The sequence below is a fragment of the Homo sapiens genome, chromosome 5 (assembly GCF_000001405.40).
Source record: "Homo sapiens chromosome 5, GRCh38.p14 Primary Assembly".
Lineage (NCBI taxonomy): Eukaryota > Metazoa > Chordata > Mammalia > Primates > Hominidae > Homo > Homo sapiens.
In genome coordinates, this window is record NC_000005.10 from 122,820,591 (window position 1) to 122,843,385 (window position 22,795).

Here is a 22,795-nt window from a genome sequence, read left to right on the forward strand (position 1 = left end):
TGGCAGTGATGGCCTGCCTGTGTAATGGATATTGATCCCTCAAAAATAGCTTTCCTCATACCCTAAGTCTTTTTGCTGTGTTACTGTATTTCCTGAAATTACAGTTATATTCATGTTTTCCAAAATATTTTCTATAGAACACTGGCACCAAAAGATGGATTACAGTTAGCTAAGTTTGGGAAGTTATGTATATAGTATCCCTGTTTGCGAGATTCAGAATGCCTTTTAAAAGCTCAGAACTGGTTAGGAGTGAAAAAGAAAACAAATTTTAATCCAGAGGCTTCTAAATTCATTTGAACAAGAATTATTTTCCACCAAATATCTATTTACATATATGGAACACATTTGTGGAAATACTGAATTAATGATTCATTGACTAAAAGAGTTAAAGAGCTGTGGTGAAGTTGCCTTCAGGTAAATTAAGCTCTTTAAGATTAGTTTCTACTGAAACCTAGCCCAGATCAACTACACAAAGGAATTAAGATATTATGGAAGGAGGTGACAGGTAATTTTTATGGTTTTTGTTTTTGTCCTATTCTTTATTTTAAACTAATTCACTTGTATTTGAAAAAATAATGCACATACATGATAGTTCTAATAGCTCAGCAAGGTAAATTTGCCTGCAGAACTAAGACCTGTAGTCTCTGACCTCAGTCATAAACTGTTAGGTTCTTGTGTGTCTTTACAGAATTAGCTATGCATGTACATGAAGCTAATTCTCCCTCTGTCCATTTATTCCTTCCATCCCCTTCTCTCCCTCCCTTCCTTTCTCAAAAAGGAATATACTGTGTGTAGTGTTCTTTGTCTGCTTTTTACACCCACTCCACTTAATAGGGCGGTCTCCCTATCAACATAAGTAGATGTCCTTTTTTTTTTTTTTTCGCAGACGGAGACTCGCTCTGTCGCCCAGGCTGGAGTGCAGTGGCGTGATTTCGGCTCATTGCAGGCTCCGCCTCCGGGTTCATGCCATTCTCCTGCCTCAGCCTTCCGAGTAGCTGGGACTACAGGCGCCCACCATCATGCCTGGCTAATTTTTTTGTATTTTTAGTAGAGACGAGGTTTCACCGTGTTAGCCAGGATGGTCTTGATCTCCTGACCTCATGATCCGCCTGCCTCAGCCTCCCAAAGTGCTGGGATTACAGGCGTGAGCCATTGCGCCTGGCCGGTAGATGTCTTTTTAATGGTTGTATAGCATTCCATCATATAACATTTAGATATACCTTGAATTATAGTCTAGTCTTTTAAAAAATCAAGTGTTTTGATAACTCTTTGGACATAAAGATTCTATAAGTAGAATTGCTGACCAGAGGGTATATGCATTTTAAATTTCAATAAGTATTGCCAAATTACTGTTCAAAAAGATTTTACTTTGTACCCTAACCTACCTAAACCTACATGTTTCTTTTTACTAGCACCCAAGAATGAAGGTTTTTTGTTTTGTAAGTTGCCATTTACTTAGTGTGAATCAAGACATCTTTACAAATGATAAACCATTTGCATTTCTTTTTCTTTCTTTTTTATTGAGATGGAGTCTTGCTTTGTCGCCAGGCTAGAGTGCAGTGGTGCAATCTTGGCTCACTACAACCTCCGCCTCCTAGGTTCAAGCAATTCTGCCTCAGCCTCCCGAGTAGCTGGGACTATAGGCGTGTGCCACCACAGCCAGCTAATTTTTGTATTTTTAGTAGAGACGGGGTTTCACCTTGCCAGGATGGCCTATCTCTTGACCTCGTGATCTACTCACCTCGGCGTCCCAAAGCGCTGGGATTACAGGCATGAGCCACCGCACCCAGCCCTACATTTCTTTTTCTGTGAATGAACTCTTCATGTCCTTTGCCCAGTTTTTGTTTGGTTATTATCTATTTCGAATAGGTGCTTAATATTAATTAACCTTTGGTTTTATCCATATCGAGCGTACTTTTCTGATGATAGTTCTTCAAATTAGGAATACTTTGGGGATTAATATAGAGCCATTGTTAGGATCAAAAAACATCAGGAATTGGAACACTAAAGAAAAAGCTACATTTTACCCATTTCAAAATATTGCCTAAGCCTGGCGTTGTGTCAGGAAACGCCTGTTTTCCTCTTTTGTATAGTACATGGTCTCTGCAATTTAGAACTATAAGAGTTGGCTGTATCCTTACAAGCATTGTCATGTATTGGGCTTCTTTGAACCACTAGAGTAGGGTCAGAGATTGAGGGCAATGGTTCTTAATGTTTTTAGCACTAGAACTCTTCATAAATAATTTTTGTAGGGGATCCCAATTTATAAAACATACTAAAAAAATGTATTTAACTAAAAGATGGATTCCCCAAGGGGTTTAAACGCTTTATTCTTTGGCTATAAATACTCAGCACCTCTTCAGAACTCCATGAAGCTGGGCAGCATATTTTCAGATTAACTGAATTACAATATGATAATAATTAAAATTGTAGCATCAAATTTCCTGATGGGCCAAAAAAACTGTTAGACATCTGCAATCTTGTCTAACTGAGAGCAGCTTGCATACAAATGTATGCCATAAATTAGCAGAGTAATGGAGGTCCTAAATGGATGATCCGTGTAAACTTATCCCTCTTATAATGGTTCTACTAGAGTGGATTAGTATCTTGACATACAAAGGGACACATTGTTACGATTTAATTGATTTAATATAGCATTGTTAGAAGTTTGACTGGTGCTGGTTCTTTTTTATTTTCTGTTATTTTGTTACAAAGGAAAGAAAACAAACGAAGAAAAAGTTAATTTGTATATTTAAGATTAATTTTTTTTTCCTGAAATAACCTGACTTTAGTAGTCTTACCTTTATCATAGCTCCTACATCTGTACCACAATAAACATGTCCTGGTTCTAGAATACTATGAGATAATAAATTGGACAGGGACCAAATTAGTTTAGATTTAGCATATCAATGGAAAAGCCGGTTGATGTATACATTGAGAACTTAAGCAAATATTGAATTAAAGGGCATGTTCATTAGCTTTTTCCCTGTATTGGTACATATTTTAAGGAATCAAATTTTTACTGAACAGAGGAATTTATAAATGAAGAAAAGATATGGCCCTGTTCCCCTAAAGCAAGACTAGGTCTAAAATCTTACATTACTTTTTGGTGGTCGTGTGTATGTGGGTGTGTGTGTGTGTGTGTGTCGGAAGTGAGAGGGATTGTCTTAAGCTTTCCAACATGTGGTCGTGTGTGTGTGTGTGTGTGTGTGTGTGTGTGTATGTGTAGGAAGTGAGAGGGATTGTTTGTGTTAAGCTTTCCAACATGCGGCCGGGGACAGCTTTGAATGCAGCCCAACTCAAATTCACAAACTTTATTAAAATGTCATGGCCGGGCGCGGTGGCTCATGCCTGTAATCCCAGCACTTTGGGAGGCCGAGGCAGGCAGATCATGAGATCAGGAGATCGAGACCATCCTGGCTAACACAGTGAAACCCCGTCTCTTCTAAAAATAAAAATAAATTAGCTGGGCATGGTGGCGGGTGCCTGTAGTCCCAGCTACTCAGGAGGCTGAGGCAGGAGAATGGCGTGAACCTGGGAGTTGGAGCTCGCAGTGAGCTGAGATCGCGCCACTGCACTCCAGCCTGGGCAACAGAGCGAGACTCTGTCTCAAAAAAAAAAAAAAAAAAGAAAATTGTAAAAAACACTGATGACATTTTTTTTTTAAAGCTCATCACTTAGTGTTAGTGTTAGTATGTTTTATGTGTGGCCCAAGACAATTCTTCTTCCATTGTGGCCCAGGGAAGCCAAAGCATTGAACACTGCTGTTTTAAATGATAGTGACTTTTTCTGAATCTATTTGTGTTAGATATGTTACTTTTGGATTTTAATAAGGGATGTTTTAGGAAAAACGTGGTATTTTAAATATAAGAAAAGCAGACAAAGGAGACAGTAAGATTCACTTAATAATGTAAGAAAAATTATCTGAGAAGACAAATTAAATATAGCAAAGTGGATTTAAATACCCATAGATAAGGTGCTTTGACTGCCAGTTTGCCCTGGATATCTTTTGTCCTGGTTAATTTAAAATGTTCACGATCCTTAAGAATTCCTTTGGAAAAATGCTTTGGTTTCTGGTTGATTGGATTTTTTAATGCTATTATCACATTTTTAAAAATTGCCATATGATATAAATGCTTTTTAGTTATACATTTTTTCCATAATACTAACCTATCCTTTGCACTTTGGTATAGAAAGCTTAACAGTTAACTACATTTACATGTGTATGTTATTTAGAAGTAATCCATAATGGCTGTACCTACTGATTATTAAGCATCCACTAGGTTAAGTCACTATGCAATAATATACTCCTTATGTTATTTCTAATCCATAAATGTAGACATCACTTCCCACCTTTCGTATTTGGGATCATTACAGCTTGGAGAAGTTCAGTGAATTTACCCATGGTCATACGGTGACAAAACTAATATTAGAACCAAATTTGATTTTCTCCAAAGCCTGCTTTTTAAAAATATACTACCTACATATTTTTCTCTTCAGATCCCTATAGGAACATGTATTTTTACTGCTTCATGGTTCAAAAAGTTTTTTATTTGGAATAAATTAAAATAACTCGGGTTTAGTGCTTCCTGGTTCACCCAATTTATTAACATTTACTTCATGAATGTTTGATTAGTAATTACTAAAATAATTTTAATATTTCTCTAACATCAAGCCAGAAAGAGGATTCTTAGTGGGTTCTCCCATCCTATCCATCATTTTTTTCATGAGACTTCTAATTACACTAATTTGTCCATATTTCATTTCTTTTCTCTATTCACTTGCCCTTGCTCTGCCAGACTCCTTGAGAGAAGTCATGGATTTGGTTGACTTATTGTATTAGGATCTTTTTGTCTATTTCTTTAGTTCTGCAGTGTATATATAAAAAATATATATAGTCCTCTTCATCTTTTGCCCTTTTCATCTTAAGACTGTCTTTTTATTCATTTTGTTATATTTTACGTTTTGATTGCTTTGCCTTTTTTTATTTGCTATGGTAATTTCTTCTACCACATATCTTATGAGTTTTTCCCATTTTGTCTTTTCAATTTCAGACATGTTTCTAATACTTAATATGCTTCTAATATTATTTAGCGGGAAAATTTCCAGTGTAGGTATGACACTAGCATTTTCCTATTAAAGACATCTTCAAAGCATAAAACGCTGTTATAAATCTTATAAACCATATTTAAAGCCCTAAAGGCTAGTGATGAAATGGGTTTTGAATGTAGTTTTTATTCTGAACATGTTTCATCCAGTGACAGGGTTTTTTTGTTTTAAGCAAATGAATATGGAGATTATTTTCTTTGATATTGGCATACTTACTTTCAGTATCTTAGTATATTAGAATAGAACTTAAATACTTGGTTTTATTGTTTTCAGTATTATAACACTTCTAGTGTTAAGAAAGTATTTTAAATGTTACTCTTACTTAATAGCATTATGTCATTCACTTATAGGGTGTGTTTGACCATCGAATGAAGTGCTGGCAGAAATGGGAAGATGCTCAAATTACTTTGCTCAAAAAACGTGAAGCTGAAGCAAAAATGATGGTTGCTAACAAACCAGATAAAATACAGCAAGCTAAAAATGAAATAAGAGAGGTGATTACTAAATGCTTTAATCTCTTTACTTAAGTTTTGCATGAGTCATTCATATATACATAATTTTTCATAATTTTTTGTAAACCATTCAACACGTAGCTATTTTTGCATATTTTTATGAACTGTGTTAGAATTACTTTAACATTTTGATCATTATTATTAAAATCTCCAGAGCCCTTCATTACTTATGGAATGGATAAAGAAGCATACAAGGAAAACAGCTAAAATTAACCTTTACATTAATAATTACACATTTTTATTAGATGGTTAATTTTATTTCAGATTATTATTTTGTGTCTAAAAATGGTTTTAGAGCTAGATCTCTCCCACATTTAGCTGTCCAGGCAACATTATCCCCCATATATATGTATTATATATGGTATTTTAGTGAATTTGTATAAGTTTATTATAATTTATACACTTTTCTTACCATGCTTCAATAAGGAAATTGAAGAGGTAGGACAACCTTTATGTTACTAAAAATAAATGTACCTGCCCTTTGAAGAGTATGTACCAGTGTTTTGGTTACATAGTGGGAAAAATATCATTTCATTGCTTAAATCTTCAGTTATTTTAGTTGTTTCATTGTTCACTAATCACAACATTTTGTTGTTTCTGTACTGAATTTAATATTTATTGATGGTCTTCAGTAGACCATAATTCCACATTTTTTTCCAATCTGGTCATTTTACCATTACAAAAATATTTTTAAAATGTTTATCATGTAATTTTCCTAATTTAAAATATTTCCATCAGCATATAAATTTTGAAGAACACATATCCTTGGATTTAACAGTATTGATATATTCTGAAATAATTATTGATATAAAAAAGTAATTAAGAAAATTACACTATAGCACTGATAATTTATTTTGTGGTGAATTTTATGCCCAAAATCTTTCCTCTTAGTTATATTTAATTAAGCTTTGGACATTGTAGTTTATTAAGTACAGTATTGAAATATCTTAATATTGAGCAAATCTGTGGAATATTAAAGGAAATTAAGCTAACATGCATTTCTATTGGTTGACAGTTAAATGCAATTTCTGTTGATGCTAAATTGTGCATTGCCAATATTGAGCTTTCTCAGGATTTTCAGGCATTGTGATTAAATTAAGTGAGTGGTCTTGACAGTACTATACTTTTTTTTGAGATAAGCATAAAATATTTCTTTGTTTTTATTAGTGGGAGGCGAAAGTGCAACAAGGGGAAAGAGATTTTGAACAGATATCTAAAACGATTCGAAAAGAAGTGGGAAGATTTGAGGCATGTATAATAATTTTGCATTTATCTTAACAACATGGTCACATTTTGCTGCAATTTTGTGGTAAAGTTGAATTTAGCTTTCTACTAACGGACTTTTTAAAATGTACTTCAACAGAAAGAACGAGTGAAGGATTTTAAAACCGTTATCATCAAGTACTTAGAATCACTAGTTCAAACACAACAACAGGTAAGCCATTTTTGTTTATAACTTAAACTTCTAGAATTTGTTTTTGGTATACTTTCTTATTTTAAAAAGATGATTAATGAACTGGGCATTTAAACTCAAGAATAAGAAATGGAAGACAGAAAGCCAGTGATGGTAAAGGATAAAAGGGTAAACTAATCGGAAACTATCTCACGTGTTTTTTTTTTTTTTGCCTCTGCTTAACACTAAGGCAGAGATAGACTTTTCCCAGTTTTAGGCCATCAGAAACCTCATGGGCAACTTTCCCCTTTCACTGTCTTTCTAGTTTGTTTTCCTTGTTGGTCAGACCTGTTTGAGTAAATTCTCATAGTAAGTTCTTCTCTTCCATAACAAATAGAACTTAAGCTAAACACTTTTTCAGAATTAAAAAAAAAAACTGTACTGTTTTCATTTTTGCTTTATTTTGTTTGGGGTTGGTGGTGGTTGAATGCTGCAAGTGGCAGTTATCTCATTTACCATGGATTTTAATGGTATATTAAATAAAAAGATAATCACAGAAAATTTTCCTGTATATTTTAATGTAAATTAGAGTAACAGGTCAAGTAATTTAATATCTTGAAGGATTTCTTCCTTCCAGTTTTAAAATATGTGGATCTAGAATGTCATTTGTGTAAAACATAATAGGTTGTTTTTGAATTAAGTGGTATGATGTCTTCAAATTGTGTTTAATTTTTATTTAAACAGCTCATAAAGTTAAATTTTTTTAAATATGAAAATAAGTCATATAAGCTTGTTTTTAAAGGAATTGTTTTAAACATGACTTCAGTTGATATTTCAGTCTGTTCTCTGGACTATTCAAGGAAGACTGACAGCTAATTCTATCCAGTCCTTTTTTTTTTCTTGTTCAGTATTTTCTTTTCTTCCTCCTTATATCCCATTTTTTTTTGTCTAGCAATAACATAAACTGTCAATATGCTCTGAATTGGGAAATCCTGTCACTTTATGCTGGAAAAGGTCATTGTAGTTGTATTATTTGCTTTAATATATGGTAACACTGTTCTGTGTAAAATTTTGCATAAAACAAAAAATTGTACATTAAAAGAACTCCATTATTTTACATCAAAAACTAAAAGTAGCCAGGAGTAATTAATGTTTTAAATAATTTATATATGAAATATATTGACGGACTTCAGATAAGGAAATTAAAATGATTCCTTTAAGAACCAGACATTGGCCGGGCGCAGCGGCTCATGCCTGTAATCTCAGCACATTGGGAGGCCGAGGCGGGTGGATCACCTGAGGTCAGGAGTTTAAGACCAGCCTGGCTAACATGGAGAAACCCCATCTCTACTAAAAATACAAAAAAATTAGCTGGGCGTGGTGGCGCACCTGTAATCCCAGCTACTCAGGAGGCTGAGGCAGGGAATCGCTTGAACTGGGAGGTGGAGGTTGCAGTGAGCCGAGGTCATGCCATTGCACTCCGGTCTGGGCAATAAGAGTGAAACTCCACCTCAAGAAAACAAAACAAAAAAAACCCAGACGTTAGTAAATATTAGTCATTGTTAGCTATTTGTATGGTTTTTTAATGTTGTTTTTGTTTGTTTGTTTGTTTGTTTTTGAGATGGAGTCTTGCTCTGTTGTCCAGGTTGGAGTGCAGTGGTGTGATCTTGGCTCACTGCAACCTCTGTCTCCTGGGTTCAAGCTATTCTTGTACCTCAGCCTCCCCAGTAGCTGGGATTACAGGCAAGCGCCACATTGCCAGGCTAATTTTTGTATTTTTAGTAGAGACGGGGTTTCACCATGTTGACCAGGCTAGTCTTGAACTCCTGACATCAGGTGATCCACCCATCTCAGCCTCCCAAAGTGCTGGAATTATAGGTGTGAGCTACCCAGCCCGGCTTATGTAGATTTTTTTTTAATGCTGTACAGGATATATGCATATAAATGACAAAAAGGTAATGAGAATAACTTATATTTTAATTATCATTCACAGCTGATAAAATACTGGGAAGCATTCCTACCTGAAGCCAAAGCCATTGCCTAGCAATAAGATTGTTGCCGTTAAGAAGACCTTGGATGTTGTTCCAGTTATGCTGGATTCCACAGTGAAATCATTTAAAACCATCTAAATAAACCACTATATATTTTATGAATTACATGTGGTTTTATATACACACACACACACACACACACACACACACACACACTCTGACATTTTATTACAAGCTGCATGTCCTGACCCTCTTTGAATTAAGTGGACTGTGGCATGACATTCTGCAATACTTTGCTGAATTGAACACTATTGTGTCTTAAATACTTGCACTAAATAGTGCACTGCAAGACCAGAAAATTTTACAATATTTTTTCTTTACAATATGTTCTGTAGTATGTTTACCCTCTTTATGAAGTGAATTACCAATGCTTTGAATAATGTTCACTTATACATTCCTGTACAGAAATTACGATTTTGTGATTACAGTAATAAAATGATATTCCTTGTGAAATATTAGTAACAAATTATTTGGGTATTTAAACATTAGGAATCTTTTCAAAGCATTTTTAATAGGAAGAAATTTTTCTTCTAGATGTATATAGGTGATGCCATGATTCCTTAATTATTTTAATTGACAAAGCTGAACTCATTAAATGACTAAATGAAGCTTAAGTTTTCTTATGAAACCATCATAAATCAAAGAACATTTGACTCTTGATTGTCTTGGGTAAAGAAGAGAATAATTGTCTTTGCTTGTTTTTAACCATCTCTATTACAAGTGCCCAATTTAAGAATTAGGAAAAAAATGTATTTATATACTTTTACAAGTCCCATGGATTTTGTTCATCTTCTCGTTATCTTCAGAATCTCGTACTTTGCATATATTTAATTTATTCTTGTCTTTTGGTTTTTTTTCTTTTAAACTAAAAGTATATCATCTGTGCTCACAGTTGACAAGGAATGGTACCATGTTAAAATATACCATGATTTGATGAATAAGCAAGCACAACACAAAGCAAATTTGAAGTAAACTGAAATTTAGTTTGCCTTGGGCAATGTTTTTACCCATTCTGTATGCTACTTAGACAGCTGTTATCTAATCCTTAATGCTGATGAAAATTTAAGTCATGGCTGGGTGTGGTGGCTCACGCCTGTAATCCTAGCACTTTGGGAGGCTGAGGTGGGTGGATCACCTGAGGTCAGGAGTTCAAGACTAGCCTGGCCAACATGGTAAAACTCCATCTCTACTAAAAATACAAAAATTCGCCTGGTGTGGTGGGGTGTGCTTGTGGTCCCAGCTACTTGGGAGGCTGAGGCACAAGAATCGCTTGAACCAGGAAGGTGGAGGTTGCAGTGAGCCAAGATCATGCCGTTGCACGCCAGCCTAGGCAACAAAAGCAAAACTCCATCTCAAAAAAAAAAAAAAAAAAAAAAAAGATGACTGGTGTCAGAGCTATTTTTGTTTTTTAAAAAATATTCTTACAAACACCCCTCTTCTTGAGCTTAACCACCACATATCCCTTCCATAGGAACAAGATATGGTATGTGTAACTAAGTCATCTCTAGTGAGTCACTGGATACAATTTATATATCGAAGTATCCTTAGCATGTGTTTGCTTCTGCTTTAGTTGAAATGTTAAGCCTTCTATAGGTGTTATTCATATTTATACTCCCACAGCCCAGAAGAGTGGCTGATACATAATAGGTTAATAATAAGGGCTTGATGGGCCAGGCACAGTGACTCACATGCCTGTAGTCCCAGCTTCTTGGGAGGCTGAGGCAGGAGGATCTCTTGAGCCCAGGAGTTTGAGGCTATAGTACACTATGATCGTGCCTGTGAATACCCACTAACCTACAGCCAGCCTGGACAACATAGTGAGACCCTGTCTCTAAAAAAAATGAAGACTTGATGAGTTGAACAGGGAAAACAAAAGTTTGCTCTTCTAAAAAGAAACTGAAGCAGAAATAGTACAATCATCTTTTGTTGCTTCTGGGAATACTTTTCAGAAACGAATAATTCATAGTAATATATATCAGATGCTATCTTGTTGCTCCATTAATATTGAGCAAAAGATAGGCTTACCAAGAATAGTTTCACTATAATGATGTCCTAGTGTTATATCCACAGGTATATTACTTAACAAAGGTATAGTTTACACATAGGATGGTTATTCAAGTTATTATTAAAATCTTCCATTCAGATGTGGTACATTAGAATATTCAGTACCTCCAAGTAAAATAATAAATATTTTCAGCCTTGATTAAACTCTAGACTCCCTTCCAGACTTCCATTTCCCTTGCCCACATTTACTAAAAGATGAGTGTGCTGGAAATTTCAAGTATTATATGAGCCTCTGATACCTACCAGTATTTAAACAGGATTTAATTATTTCAACACTTCACCCATCAATCTTCACTTCTCCTGTTCAGATAAAAATGCTTTCATCCCAAATAAGTAAAACAAGAACATTAATAGTGCTAATAATATAATCTTTTCATTGGATAGGTCTGAGTTTAGCGTTTGTTTGTTTTCTTAATGAGATCAAAAGTTAAAGACCAAGGCAGCAAAATATTGTGAAACAAGCTGAACTTGGGATCAGCATACATTTGTTCAGTCTTGTTTCATTTAGTATGACTTTGGGCATATCACTTAAATCTCTTATCTATAAAACAAGTACATAAAAGTCTTGATTCCTGAAGTGCCTTTCTACTTTAAAATATTTTGTTTAAAATATCAAACTTCAATATAAATATGTTGGAAAACAATTCTAATCAAAGAACTTCTATTAAGTAAAACAAGACAAAATGTGTGTAAAAATATGCCTAACACATAGATTTCCTTGATTGTATTTTCTACTGAACTATTTTCAAGTATTCAGCTTTATACTAATATATTAATCTCAAAATACCTTTGTTTCATTGTTGCTACTCCTTAAACTTTTTTCTTTATTATCTAGATCTAGTAAAGTTTTCTGCATTCATTGTATTAATGTTGGTTCAAAAGTAATTGCGTCCTTTGTCGTTATATAAATTGTTTTATAAATGGCTTTAACTATGACATAAGCCTTTTAACATAATCAGCTTTCTTTAAAGGAGGAAGTCAGATGAGTAGAGAAGGAAAGTTATATTCCTTTACAAATGCTCTTAATTTTAATGTCTTAAGGGAATTATAGAGACTTCCATTATTCTGCCTTAAATAAGGGATGTTACTTCAGTTTTCTTGTCATGGCTCCCTGCATGGGCAGTCATGTTAACAAGAGTCAGGGAGATAGCAGATATTCCATAATAGTGACTGCAGATAGGCCAGTCAAAGTCATTTTGTTTTAAAGGAAGGGAGGTTGCTGGTAGTTAGGTGGGAAAATAACACCTGTGAAAAGGAAGTCCAAGTCACTGGCTCAGGGACTTTGGAGGCATTTTCATATCATATTCACTAGTCAAGAAACGTGTAGATTATATGTGTGAGTGACATAGTCTGTTTCAAAGTATTAGAAAAGAGACAATAGAATCACCCACCCTCCCTTCGACACACACTTCCTTATGTAAAATCAGAATCAAATAATTATCATTCCTAACCCTCACAGTGAAGGATTTGGTTTCATGTAACAATGAAAGTAGATAATGGGTCAGACATGGAAATAGCAATAAAAGGGAATTACAACAAGATAAATGTGAGTAATAGTTCATTTTCCTGCATTTTTGATGAGGGCCATGAAGATAGGTCATGGTAATCTATGGAGAAGGTCCTTAAGAGCATAGAACAATATAAATATAATATGGGCCATATATATAATTTTAAAATTTTCTACAGCCAAATGTTAAAAAGTAAAAAACAATTTTAATAATCCAGTAGCTCCAAAATATTATTTTAATATGTAATCCAATATATTGAAGTTATAAGATATTTTACATTCTTTTTTTGATATCTGATGTATATTTTACACTTTCATCACATCTCCATTCAGACCGGCTACAATTTGATCAGTTGTCACATGTGGATGACTAGTGGCTATGATAATGGACAGCATAGGTTTAGACAATGCCTATTCAACTATTCAACTTGTTTTACATTTATAAATCTCAAAATGCCTTTATTTCATTGTTGGTACTCTTTTTTATTACCCAGATACAATAAAGTTTTCCAAGTTTCATTGTACACATGAAATGAGTTTACTGTGGAAATGAAAATGCAGAGTAAGTCCAACAGCTAGTTTATCATCCTGAACCCAGTGAAGAAATCAAAGCTGAATAAAAGCGACTCCTAGTTGTTACTCTCAAGGGCAGGTATAATTTATGTGCAAGACTTTGTAGCATAATGTTTTGCAAGTAGTGGATGTTCAATATCTACAATAAATGAATTGTAGTACTATATTGCTTGAAGGAAGTTTATAACCTGTCTAGAACAACTTTCTCAATTTTACAACTAAACTAGGAGATCCAGGGCTTAAATCATGATTGAACTGATTATTCCTGTTAAATTTATGTGTGAACCATATGTGAACATTCTTTGAAAATGTATGATAAGCATTTCAAGATTTCTGTTTTAATTATTAACATTTAGAATTCTAGGAAATCTTTTGGGATACAGAGAACTTATTTCTTCCAACTGTTGCTTCAGACGCTGATAAGATTGTAGAAGATAGGGAAGCTGTAGTTTACTATCTAGTTTTTTAATGCACATGAAGTAATTTAAAATGCTCTTCTTCCTTTCTTGTCACATACTTTTAAAAAATTCTCTAAAGATTGAATAATTTTAAGTATTTCTTAACTGGGCAAAATGGAAACTTTGTAACTGAAGCCAGTCAAGGTGAATACACAGAAAATCATTTTCTTATTAAGGTCAGTTAATGGGATAAACCGTTTTAAGAGAGTTGAGAAAAAATAAAGTTCTATTTTAAATTTATACATGTAACTTTAATAAAAACTAAGTCAGACAAAATTTAACAAAACTAAATTGCCTTCTTACTGCTTCCATAGTCAGTCTCGAGTTATCTTGATTTTAACCTACTCTTATTTTCTAGATCTTCATTTCAAATATTCTCACTATATATGTGTATACAGTGTGTATATTTGTGTGTAGAAGTGTGTGTGTGAATGCAACAGGCTTTTAAACCAAACTTAATTTCTAAATTGTAGTTTTAAATATGTCCCAGCCTTCTGTAACTGAGACACAAAGCCAAATGCTTATGTTTTTAGAGTTATATTGCTTAGGTGTCATAATTTCACTAAGACCAACTTGAACTGATTCCACTTTTGAAATCTCTGCCCTTATTTTATTTCCATTGTCTGTCTCCTCAGGGTCAAGATCTTGTGGCTGGGACTATCTTGAGTCTCCTATAAAAACTATTCTTGCCGGGCGCGGTGGCTCACGCCTGTAATCCCAGCACTTTGGGAGGCCGAGGCAGGTGGATCACGAGGTCAGGAGATCGAGACCATCCTGGCCAACATGGTGAAACTCCGTCTCTACTAAAAATACAAAAATTAGCTGGGTGTGGTGGCGCGTGCCTGTAATCCCAGCTACTCAGAAGGCTGAGGCAGGAGAATCGCTTGAGCCTGGGAGGCGGAAGTTGCAGTGAGCCGAGATCGTGCCACTGCACTCCAGCCTGGCAAGAGAGCTAGACAACGTCTCAAAAAAAAAACAAAAAAACAAAAAACAACAAACAAAACTATTCTTTTAGTCTCTCTCTACTCTGCCAGTCCTACAACCTGCTCCCAAATTGATCTTCCTAAATAACTCTTGTCATGGTACTATGCTCAGAAATCTTCATAGACTCCTTACAGTCTGCAGATAAAGTTCAGATGCTTGCTCCATAATTTGGTCTCAAACTATTTTTCCTGTCTTGATTCTTACCCCTTAACTTCACTCACCTTTTGCTTTAATGAAATTAGGCTCCTGTCTCATGAGCATGCTCTCTTCCTTCCTGGTTCATGTTTTTGTTAGTGACACCCCTTCTCTGATTAACCTTTCCCTTTTAACAGCAATTGTTTAAATCTTGTCCATCCCTTAAACTTTAAAGCCAAATCTAAAGTCCACATCCTTTTAAGTACCCTAGCTAGAAGGAATGTCTCTTGATCTCTCAGTAGGACTCCAGTAACACTTTGTTCCTTTTAGATTGCAATTATAGAGATCTATCTTGCATTATAGTTGTGTGGCATTACTGCCTTGACTAATTTGTATGTCTCTTGAGGAATGACTATGCCCATGTTATTTCTTGTAGAAACCAGTGTTTTACAGCCAAGACAGTGTAATCGAATGATTAAGAATGCAGTTACACATTCAGCCCACCAGTATGAATCCTGGCTCAAGAGCCTACAATATTGACTTTAAGCAAGTTATTTATCTCTAAAAGTTACTTTCCTTATCTGTATAATGGAAAGTGTCCCTTCAGATGCTCCTTAAGGACACTAAGATGATGTGAATTTCTTAGCAATAGCAAGTGCTTTATAAAATATTAGCTATCATATATCCAATAAATGTTACTGAACACTTAACATCTCAGTCTGAACAAAGTACTCACATTTCGATTATTTCACCAGTCTTTAGGGCTTCTTCAAAACAACGAGTTTATGCTTGACTATGGTCTAAATAGGCTTACCAAAAAGAGCCCTTCCCAGAATAGTATGCCCTAGGAGATCCACACTGGGAGCCCTGGGGCTGAGCATCAGAGGTGGAGGGGAAAAAAGCAGGCAGTCAAAATCAATTTGTATTCAGCCAACAAAAGTTTAGAACTTCATCCACTACAGAGATACTCTACTATAGATAAATGAATGTTATCAGTAAATGTGAGAAACCTTTAAAAAGCCTGGAGACCAAGGATGAAATAGAAATATGGTTATTAGGGAAAGAAAAGTTCACTTCCACCCAAACACATGTAAGAACCTTGAATATGTTGTAAGCCAGAGGAAATAGTAAATCATGGAAGGAAGATGGTGAGTGAAAAAATTATAAGAACATTCGATGCAGCAGCAGTCAACCAGCCAAGTGATGGTAAAGGCCTGAACCACTGTAGTGGAAGTAGGAAAGGAGGTAATTTAGGGAAACCGTAATTAAGATGGCAAGTTTCATTTATTCTTTCATTTATCCATCCATTTTGAAATCTGCATGCAAATTTCAAAAATCCTGGGTAAAACTAATATCTAAGGGAAGAAAGAAGTCAGGTAGATGGAAAGAGTCTCAGAAAGAAGTGGGGATATTTCTTACTCTGCACAAAAGGAAAGGGAAGAATGAGTGTATTTGGAGATGAAAAAAAGGCAGGACATTTTTTGTTTTGGCAAAGTAAGAAAGCCATCAGGGAGTAATGTCAGCAGAAAGGCCAAAGAAGATTAGATACCAAAAAAGAATGGCACATGTTTAGGAAAAAAAAGGGAGGGGATGAGTAAAAGGACTATTGATGAGTGCTAATTTTCAAATGAGTGAAAATCATGAGTTTACAGTGAAGCCAACTGAAGAAAATATATATTTCTTAAGCCATCAGAAAGTATGACCTAAAACTGATGGATTTTTTTCAGTATTGGGGATTGTTGGTGGGTTTCAGAGAACATTTAGGGAGAAAGTTGCATTGAGAGAAATGAAGGCAAGAGAAAGGTGACAAGCATAAATTAGAGGATTTCAATGCGGTGATGAAGTGAAAGCAGATTTTCTACCAGAGAATGAGAGAGAAGAATTGAGAAAGTAGTCAAAGGAGGGAACTTAAGTTTCAGAAATGAAGACGTTAATTTTTAGTATGTTGGCACGTTTTGAAAAAGAGAATAACTTCAAAATGGCAACCAACCTGTATTTAGTAATGCCATCAGGGTTATTTCTGTGGCATTCCTAGAATTTGCTTTTAATTTAATTTTTATTTTGAGACGGAGTCTCACTCTGTCGCTGAGGCTAGAGTGCAGTGGCATGATCTTGGCTCACTACAACCTCCACCTCCCGGGTTCAAGCAATTCTCCTGCCTCAGCCTCCGGAGTAGCTGGGACTACAGGCACGTGCCACCATGGCCGGCTAATTTATGTATTTTTTGTAGAGACGGGGTTTCACCATATTGGCCAGGCTGGTCTCAAACTCCTGACCTCAGGTGATCTGCCCACGTTGGCCTCCAAAAGTGCTGGGATTACAGGTGTGAGCCACCGTGCCCAGCCTAGAATTTGCTTTTTGATTTGTCAATTATTTGGCAGTTTTCTTGCTTGTCAATGCATTACAGTCTACTTCATCCTTTTGATTTATTTTAGTTGATGTTTATCAAATTAATACATGCACATAATCTGAAAACTAGCATTGAAAACGCTAAATAGCCAGGTGCAGTGGCTCATGCCTGTTAATCCTAGCACTTTGGAAGGCCAAATTGGGTGGATGGCTTGAGCTCAAGAGTTCGAGACTAGCCTGAGCAACATGGCAAAACCCTGTCTCTACAAAAAAATACAAAAAATTAGCTGGGCATGATGGCTCACACCTGTAATCCCAACTACTAGGGAGGTTGAGGTTGGGAGGATTGCTTGAGCCCAGGAGGCTGAGGCTGCAGTGAGCCGTGTTCATGCTACTGCACTCCAGCCTGGATGACAAAGTGAGACCCTGTCTGGAAAGAAAAAAAAAAAAAAGGCTAAATAAAAAACAATGGTTCTCTGTCCCACGTGTCCTGTTTTCCTAATCCTTTTCCTCAGAGACAACCTCTTTCTAGTCTTAGCTGTTTCTCCTGCCATCATATACCTTCACATTTCTAAATAATAGGCATATATTGCTATCAATCATCAATTTTGGGCATTACCTACTTATCTTTTTTATGGTAAATCAGTTTGGTTCTCTCACTCTGCCATCTCTCTGCTTTACACATTTCTTCCCCACCCTTTCAATGTAGTTACATTGCAATCTTTTTGTTAAATCAGTGTTTGCATTATTGTGCCTATGCAAATATTATTCAAAGCTAAAAGTTGAAGTGTATTGTGATTTTCTTCCTTTTTTAAAAAATAAACTGTTTTAGAAGTTTTAGATTTACGGAAAAAATGTGAAGGTAATACATATAGAGTTCTCATATACCCTGCACCGTTTCTTCTATCAACATGTTAGTATAGTACACCTGTTACTACTAATAAATAAATACTGAAACATTATTATTAGCTAAAGTCTGTTGTTTACTCAGATTTCATTTGTTTTTGCTTAATGCATTTTTTCTGTTCCAGGACCCCTTCCAGGATACCACATCCAGGATACACTGAGTTGTCATGACTCCTTCTGCTCTTGGTTGTGACAGTTTCTCAGGCTCTCCTTGTTTTCTATTACCTTGCTATTTTTCCCTCAGGTAAAACATGCCTTGATTTTTTTCATGTGGTTGGTGCTTTTTTTTTATTATTGCTAATTTTTCCCATGTCTTCCCATAATAGTGTCTCAGTACATTTTCCCATAGACCACCCATACTGGGTAATCTAGCCATTCTAAATGTTTTCCTTTGAGCCCTCTCTCCTGGGGACTTCTCTATGGGGCTGGTGCTTTCTGGACTTGCTGTAGTGTTATCCTTGGACTCCTCTTGCTCTCAAATTTGGAATTGCCTTTACCATTCTCCTGGCATGTATTCCTTATATCCTGAGACTCAGGCCTTCCTCTTTCTTGGTATATTTTCTTGTGTTGGTGAAGCATATTTTCCAGTAGTTCCTTTAGGTTAAAAGGAAGACACAGCAGACAACATTGTGAAGACAGACCTCAAAACGCCTGCTTCTTGAGTCATGTTGCTTTAGTCTGTACTAGTTACCTTTTTAAACTCATTGCACAGTGGTAATCCTAAAGATTTCCTTTGCTTCTCCTTTGGGTTGTATCTTTTGTTTTCTATACCCCACAGTTTCCTCTTTCTTGATTTATTCCCTCATTTTGGTGAATATACAGAGTAGGTTCTTAAAAACAAATACATCAAAAGTCAATTTTTTTTTTTTTTTGAGAAGGAGTCTTGCTCTGTCACCTAGGCTGGAGTGCAGTGGCATGATCTCGGCTCACCGCAGCCTCCACGTCCCAGGTTCAAGCGATTCTCCTGCCTCAGCCTCCTGAGTAGCTGGGATTACAGGCACGAGCCACCATGCCCAGCTAAATTTGTATTTTTAGTAGAGATTTTGGGGTTTCAACATGTTGGCCAGGCTGATCTTAAATTACTGACCTCAGGTGATCCACCCACCTCAGCCTCCTAAATTGCTGGGATTACAGGTGTGGGCCACCGTACCTAACCTATTTTTAAGACTTTACCCTAATTTTTATAGATAATTTGAGTATAGATTAGAAAAATTTTCTCTTGGAATTTTGAAGACATTGCTTCATTATCTTCTAGCTTCCAGTGTTGCTGTGGAGAATTCCAAAGCGCTGATTTGTCTAATCTTTTGTGTATGAATGAGCTGTTTTCTTCCTCTCCTTGAAGACTATAGGATCTTATCTCCAGTGTTCTGAAATAATGTAAAGATTTGTAACAGTGGCCAGGTGCCATGGCTCACGCCTGTAATCCCAGCACTTTGGAAGGGCAAGGTGGGCAGATCATTTGAGGTCCGGAGTTCAAGACCAGCCTGGCCAACATGGCAAAACCCTGTCTCTACTAAAAAGACAAAAAAAATGAGCCCAGCATGGTGGTATGTGCTTGTAATTCCAGCTACTCTAGAGGCTGAAGCACAAGAATTGCTTGAACCCAGGAGGTGGAGGTTGCGGGTGAGCCAAGATCGTGCCACTGCACCCCAGCCTGGGTGATAGAGTGAGACACTGTCTCAAAAAAAAAAAAAAAGATTTCTAATAGCATGTGTTTGTTTTCATCCTGTGTGGGGACTTTCAATCTGGAAACATGACATTCTGGTGTGGAAATTTTCTTGAGTTATTTCACCCATGATTTCCTTTCTTCTGTATTCTCTGTCTTCTCTTTCTGGAATTTCCATTGTTTGAATATTGGATGACCTGGATTTGATTTTTGCTCCTATTTTTCATCTCTGTCATTTTGCTCTACTTTCTACGAGTTCTTTTTCTGTTTTCTGATTGTTTCTGTTTTTAACAGCTTCCTGTTCTTGTTTCATAGATGCAATGTCTTCCTGTATCTCTCTGAAAATATTAGTGACAGTTTACTTTATAAGTTTTTTCCCCCCTCCTGGTTTTTGTTTCTTCCAAATTGTTTTTCTATTTTGGTATCTCTTCCATGTTAGATGCTTTCCTCAGATATGTTACTTGTTAGATGTCTCTTCATGATTAGCAGTGGGATTTGAAAGCTGACTGGAAGCTTTGGGAGTAGTTATGGGGCCTGTCAACTTAGAGCATCACTGAAGAGTGATCTCATTGGGCTATTTGTAGGAGACTTTCAATGTTGGTATCTTCGAAGTTTTTCCTATTGAGCTATTTAGATTCCCGCAGAGAATACATTTCCTGTTGCCTGCCTAGCAGGTAAAGGTGTTGCTGCCAGCCTTTATAGAGTGTCAGCATTCATTATTCAGTATGTGTAGGATCACTTACCCTCAGACTCCAATTATTTTTGATAAAAGTATCCCTGCCCTCAGCTGGGCCAGTCAACTTCTTTGGAGTTTCACTCTTGTTGCCCAGGTTGGAGTGCAATGGCATGATCTCTGCTCACTGCAACCTCCTCCTCCCAGGTTCAAGCAACTCTCCTGCCTCAGCCTCCCAAGTAGCTGGGATTACAGGCATGCACCACCACACCCGGCTAATTTTGCATTTTTAGTAGAGATGGGGTTTCTCCATGTTGGTCAGGCTGGTCTCAAACTCCCGACCTCAGGTGATCCAACTGCCTTGGCCTCCCAAAGTGCTGGGATTACAGGTGTGAGCCACCACGCCCGGCGGGCCAGTCAACTTCTAATGCAAAGATTGTTTCTTTTTCCCTCTCTAGAGGAAATATTCTCCAGATGTAGAGGGAACAATGGATCTTCCTGATTCTCAGTTTTTACCAAGACTCCTTATTTTAGCCAATTACCTTCCATTCTAGAGGTACCTATTGTTCCTTTTGTGGCGCCTTTTGAGTATTGTGCTGTGTAAATCAGGTTGGTTCTGTTTTTCCTGCTGTTGGTTTAAGATTGGGATTTCTCGTTTGCTAAAAATGTTTCTTCCCTTCTATCTGCTTTTCAGCTGACAAATGTCTTGCTCTCTCCTCTCCTATTTTTTCTATCTCTGTGGGTTTTTAAAAAAAGGGAAAAATTACTTGCGTTTATACTGGGGCTAGAAGGTTGAAATTAGTTATATATTTTCAATTTGCTATCTTAACTCAGAAACCTGTACAACAGTCCGGGCGCAGACACAGTGGCTTATGGCTGTAATCCCAGCACTTTGGGAGGCCGGTGGGGGTGAATCACTTGAGGTCAGGAGTTCAAGACCAGCCTGGCCAACATGGTGAAACTCTGTCTCTAAAATACAAAAATTAGTCAGACGTGGTGGCACGTGCCTGTAGTCCGAGGCAGAAGAATCGCTTGAACCCAGGAGGTGGAGGTTGCAGTGAACTAAGATCACGCCATTGCACTCCAGCCTGGGCGTCTCAGCAAGACCTCATCTCAAAAAAAAAAAAAAAAAAAAATCTGTACAACAGTCTTTTTAAATGCAACTCATATTTTTTTTTTTTTTTTTGAGACAGGGTCTTGCTGAGATGCCCAGGCTGGGATTACAGCCATGAGCCACTGTACCCGCGCCTGACCTGTTGTACAGGTTTCTGAGTTAAGATAGCAAAGGTATCTGAAGCGTTTCTTTCCAAATTTTTGCTCATATTGAAGTAATTCTTTTTTAAAAACTGCCAGTACACTAAAAATTAATGTCAGCATTTCTGAAACTTAACTTTCCTCCTTTCACTACTTTCTCATTTCTTCTCTCCTTCATTAACAGAAAATCTGCTTTTACCTCATCACATCTAAATCCTCCAATTTATGCCTGTCCCCTCTCTCTTGCCTTCATTTCTCTCAACGTAACCTTCCCCCTTGATGTTCTCTCAAAGCAGATTGTTAAAGAAGTGAACCCAGCCCCTTAATTCTTTCTCTCATATGCTCTTTTGCCCTTCTGCTATGAGATGACCTTCACAGATGCCAGGGCCATGTTCTTCGACTTCCCAGGTTCTGAGCCAAATAATCTTCTATTCTTTATAAATTACCCAGTCGGTGATATCCTGTTCCATCAGCAGAAAAGGGACTAAGACATTAATCTATCAAATTAAAGATATTTCTTGCTACTTCTAGCCTAAGAATTTGTGTGAATAGTTGTACTGTTTCATTAATTTTTTCCAGAATCTATTGGGATATTTTTTAATCTGACAATATTGTGAAATACATCAAAAGATGTCCTAATGTTTAGCCATCTTTACATTTCTGGGATAAATCTTACTTTGTCATGATGTATTAATCTTATAACTGAATGCTGAACGTATAATATATTCGATTTACATTTTAGTCAAAACTTCTAAATGTTAGTGTTAAAGCAGTTTATCTCAATTTGTTGAAGTATATTTCTACCCAATACTAAGTAAATGTACTTTTAGTGTAAGAATTTTATGCCCAGATTCCAGCAGAATTTTGTTATTTTGCTCCTGAAAATTGTTTGCTTCTATTAATAGATACTAACTGTTCAATGTTTTATATTTGTATTTAGCATGCATTTTTATTAATGTTTTGAGGAAAAGATATTTAGCTGGCCTGTTACAGACTGTAGAGTTGGATTAAAAGATAACATAGGAACAACAGGAAAATACATTTGCCATGTTCTTTTACTTTGGTGCTCTATTCTCCCTTTCCTCGGTGGCTGGAAGACTCAGAGAATTTGGTTAGAAATTTAGTTCTTCTAATTATTAGCTAGTAATTTCATACTTACTC

At 36.2% G+C, this 22,795-nt stretch overlaps 1 protein-coding gene and 1 long non-coding RNA gene across 4 annotated transcripts in view; one reads left to right on the forward strand and one right to left on the reverse strand.

The window, feature by feature from the left end:
• The window catches only part of SNX2 (sorting nexin 2), a 59,548-nt gene extending 45,595 nt beyond the window's left edge, over positions 1-13,953 (forward strand). Inside the window, exons 12-15 of one of the 2 annotated variants that reach the window (NM_001278199.1) lie at positions 5,460-5,603; positions 6,789-6,869; positions 6,985-7,056; positions 9,008-13,949. In NM_001278199.1, coding sequence (NP_001265128.1) covers positions 5,460-5,603; positions 6,789-6,869; positions 6,985-7,056; positions 9,008-9,058 — 348 coding nt within the window. In that variant the 3' untranslated portion in view covers positions 9,059-13,949. Of the gene's footprint in view, positions 1-5,459; positions 5,604-6,788; positions 6,870-6,984; positions 7,057-9,007 lie in introns of both variants that reach the window. The other variant, NM_003100.4, reaches the window with a different exon arrangement.
• LOC105379154 (uncharacterized) overlaps positions 1-22,795 on the reverse strand; it is a 57,613-nt gene that overhangs the window by 32,654 nt on the left and 2,164 nt on the right. The window contains exon 2 of one of the 2 annotated variants that reach the window (XR_007058916.1): positions 8,161-8,524. The exons of the other annotated variant lie outside the window; for it this stretch is intronic. This is a non-coding gene — a long non-coding RNA (uncharacterized LOC105379154). Of the gene's footprint in view, positions 1-8,160; positions 8,525-22,795 lie in introns of those variants that run through there. 2 annotated transcript variants of the gene reach the window in all.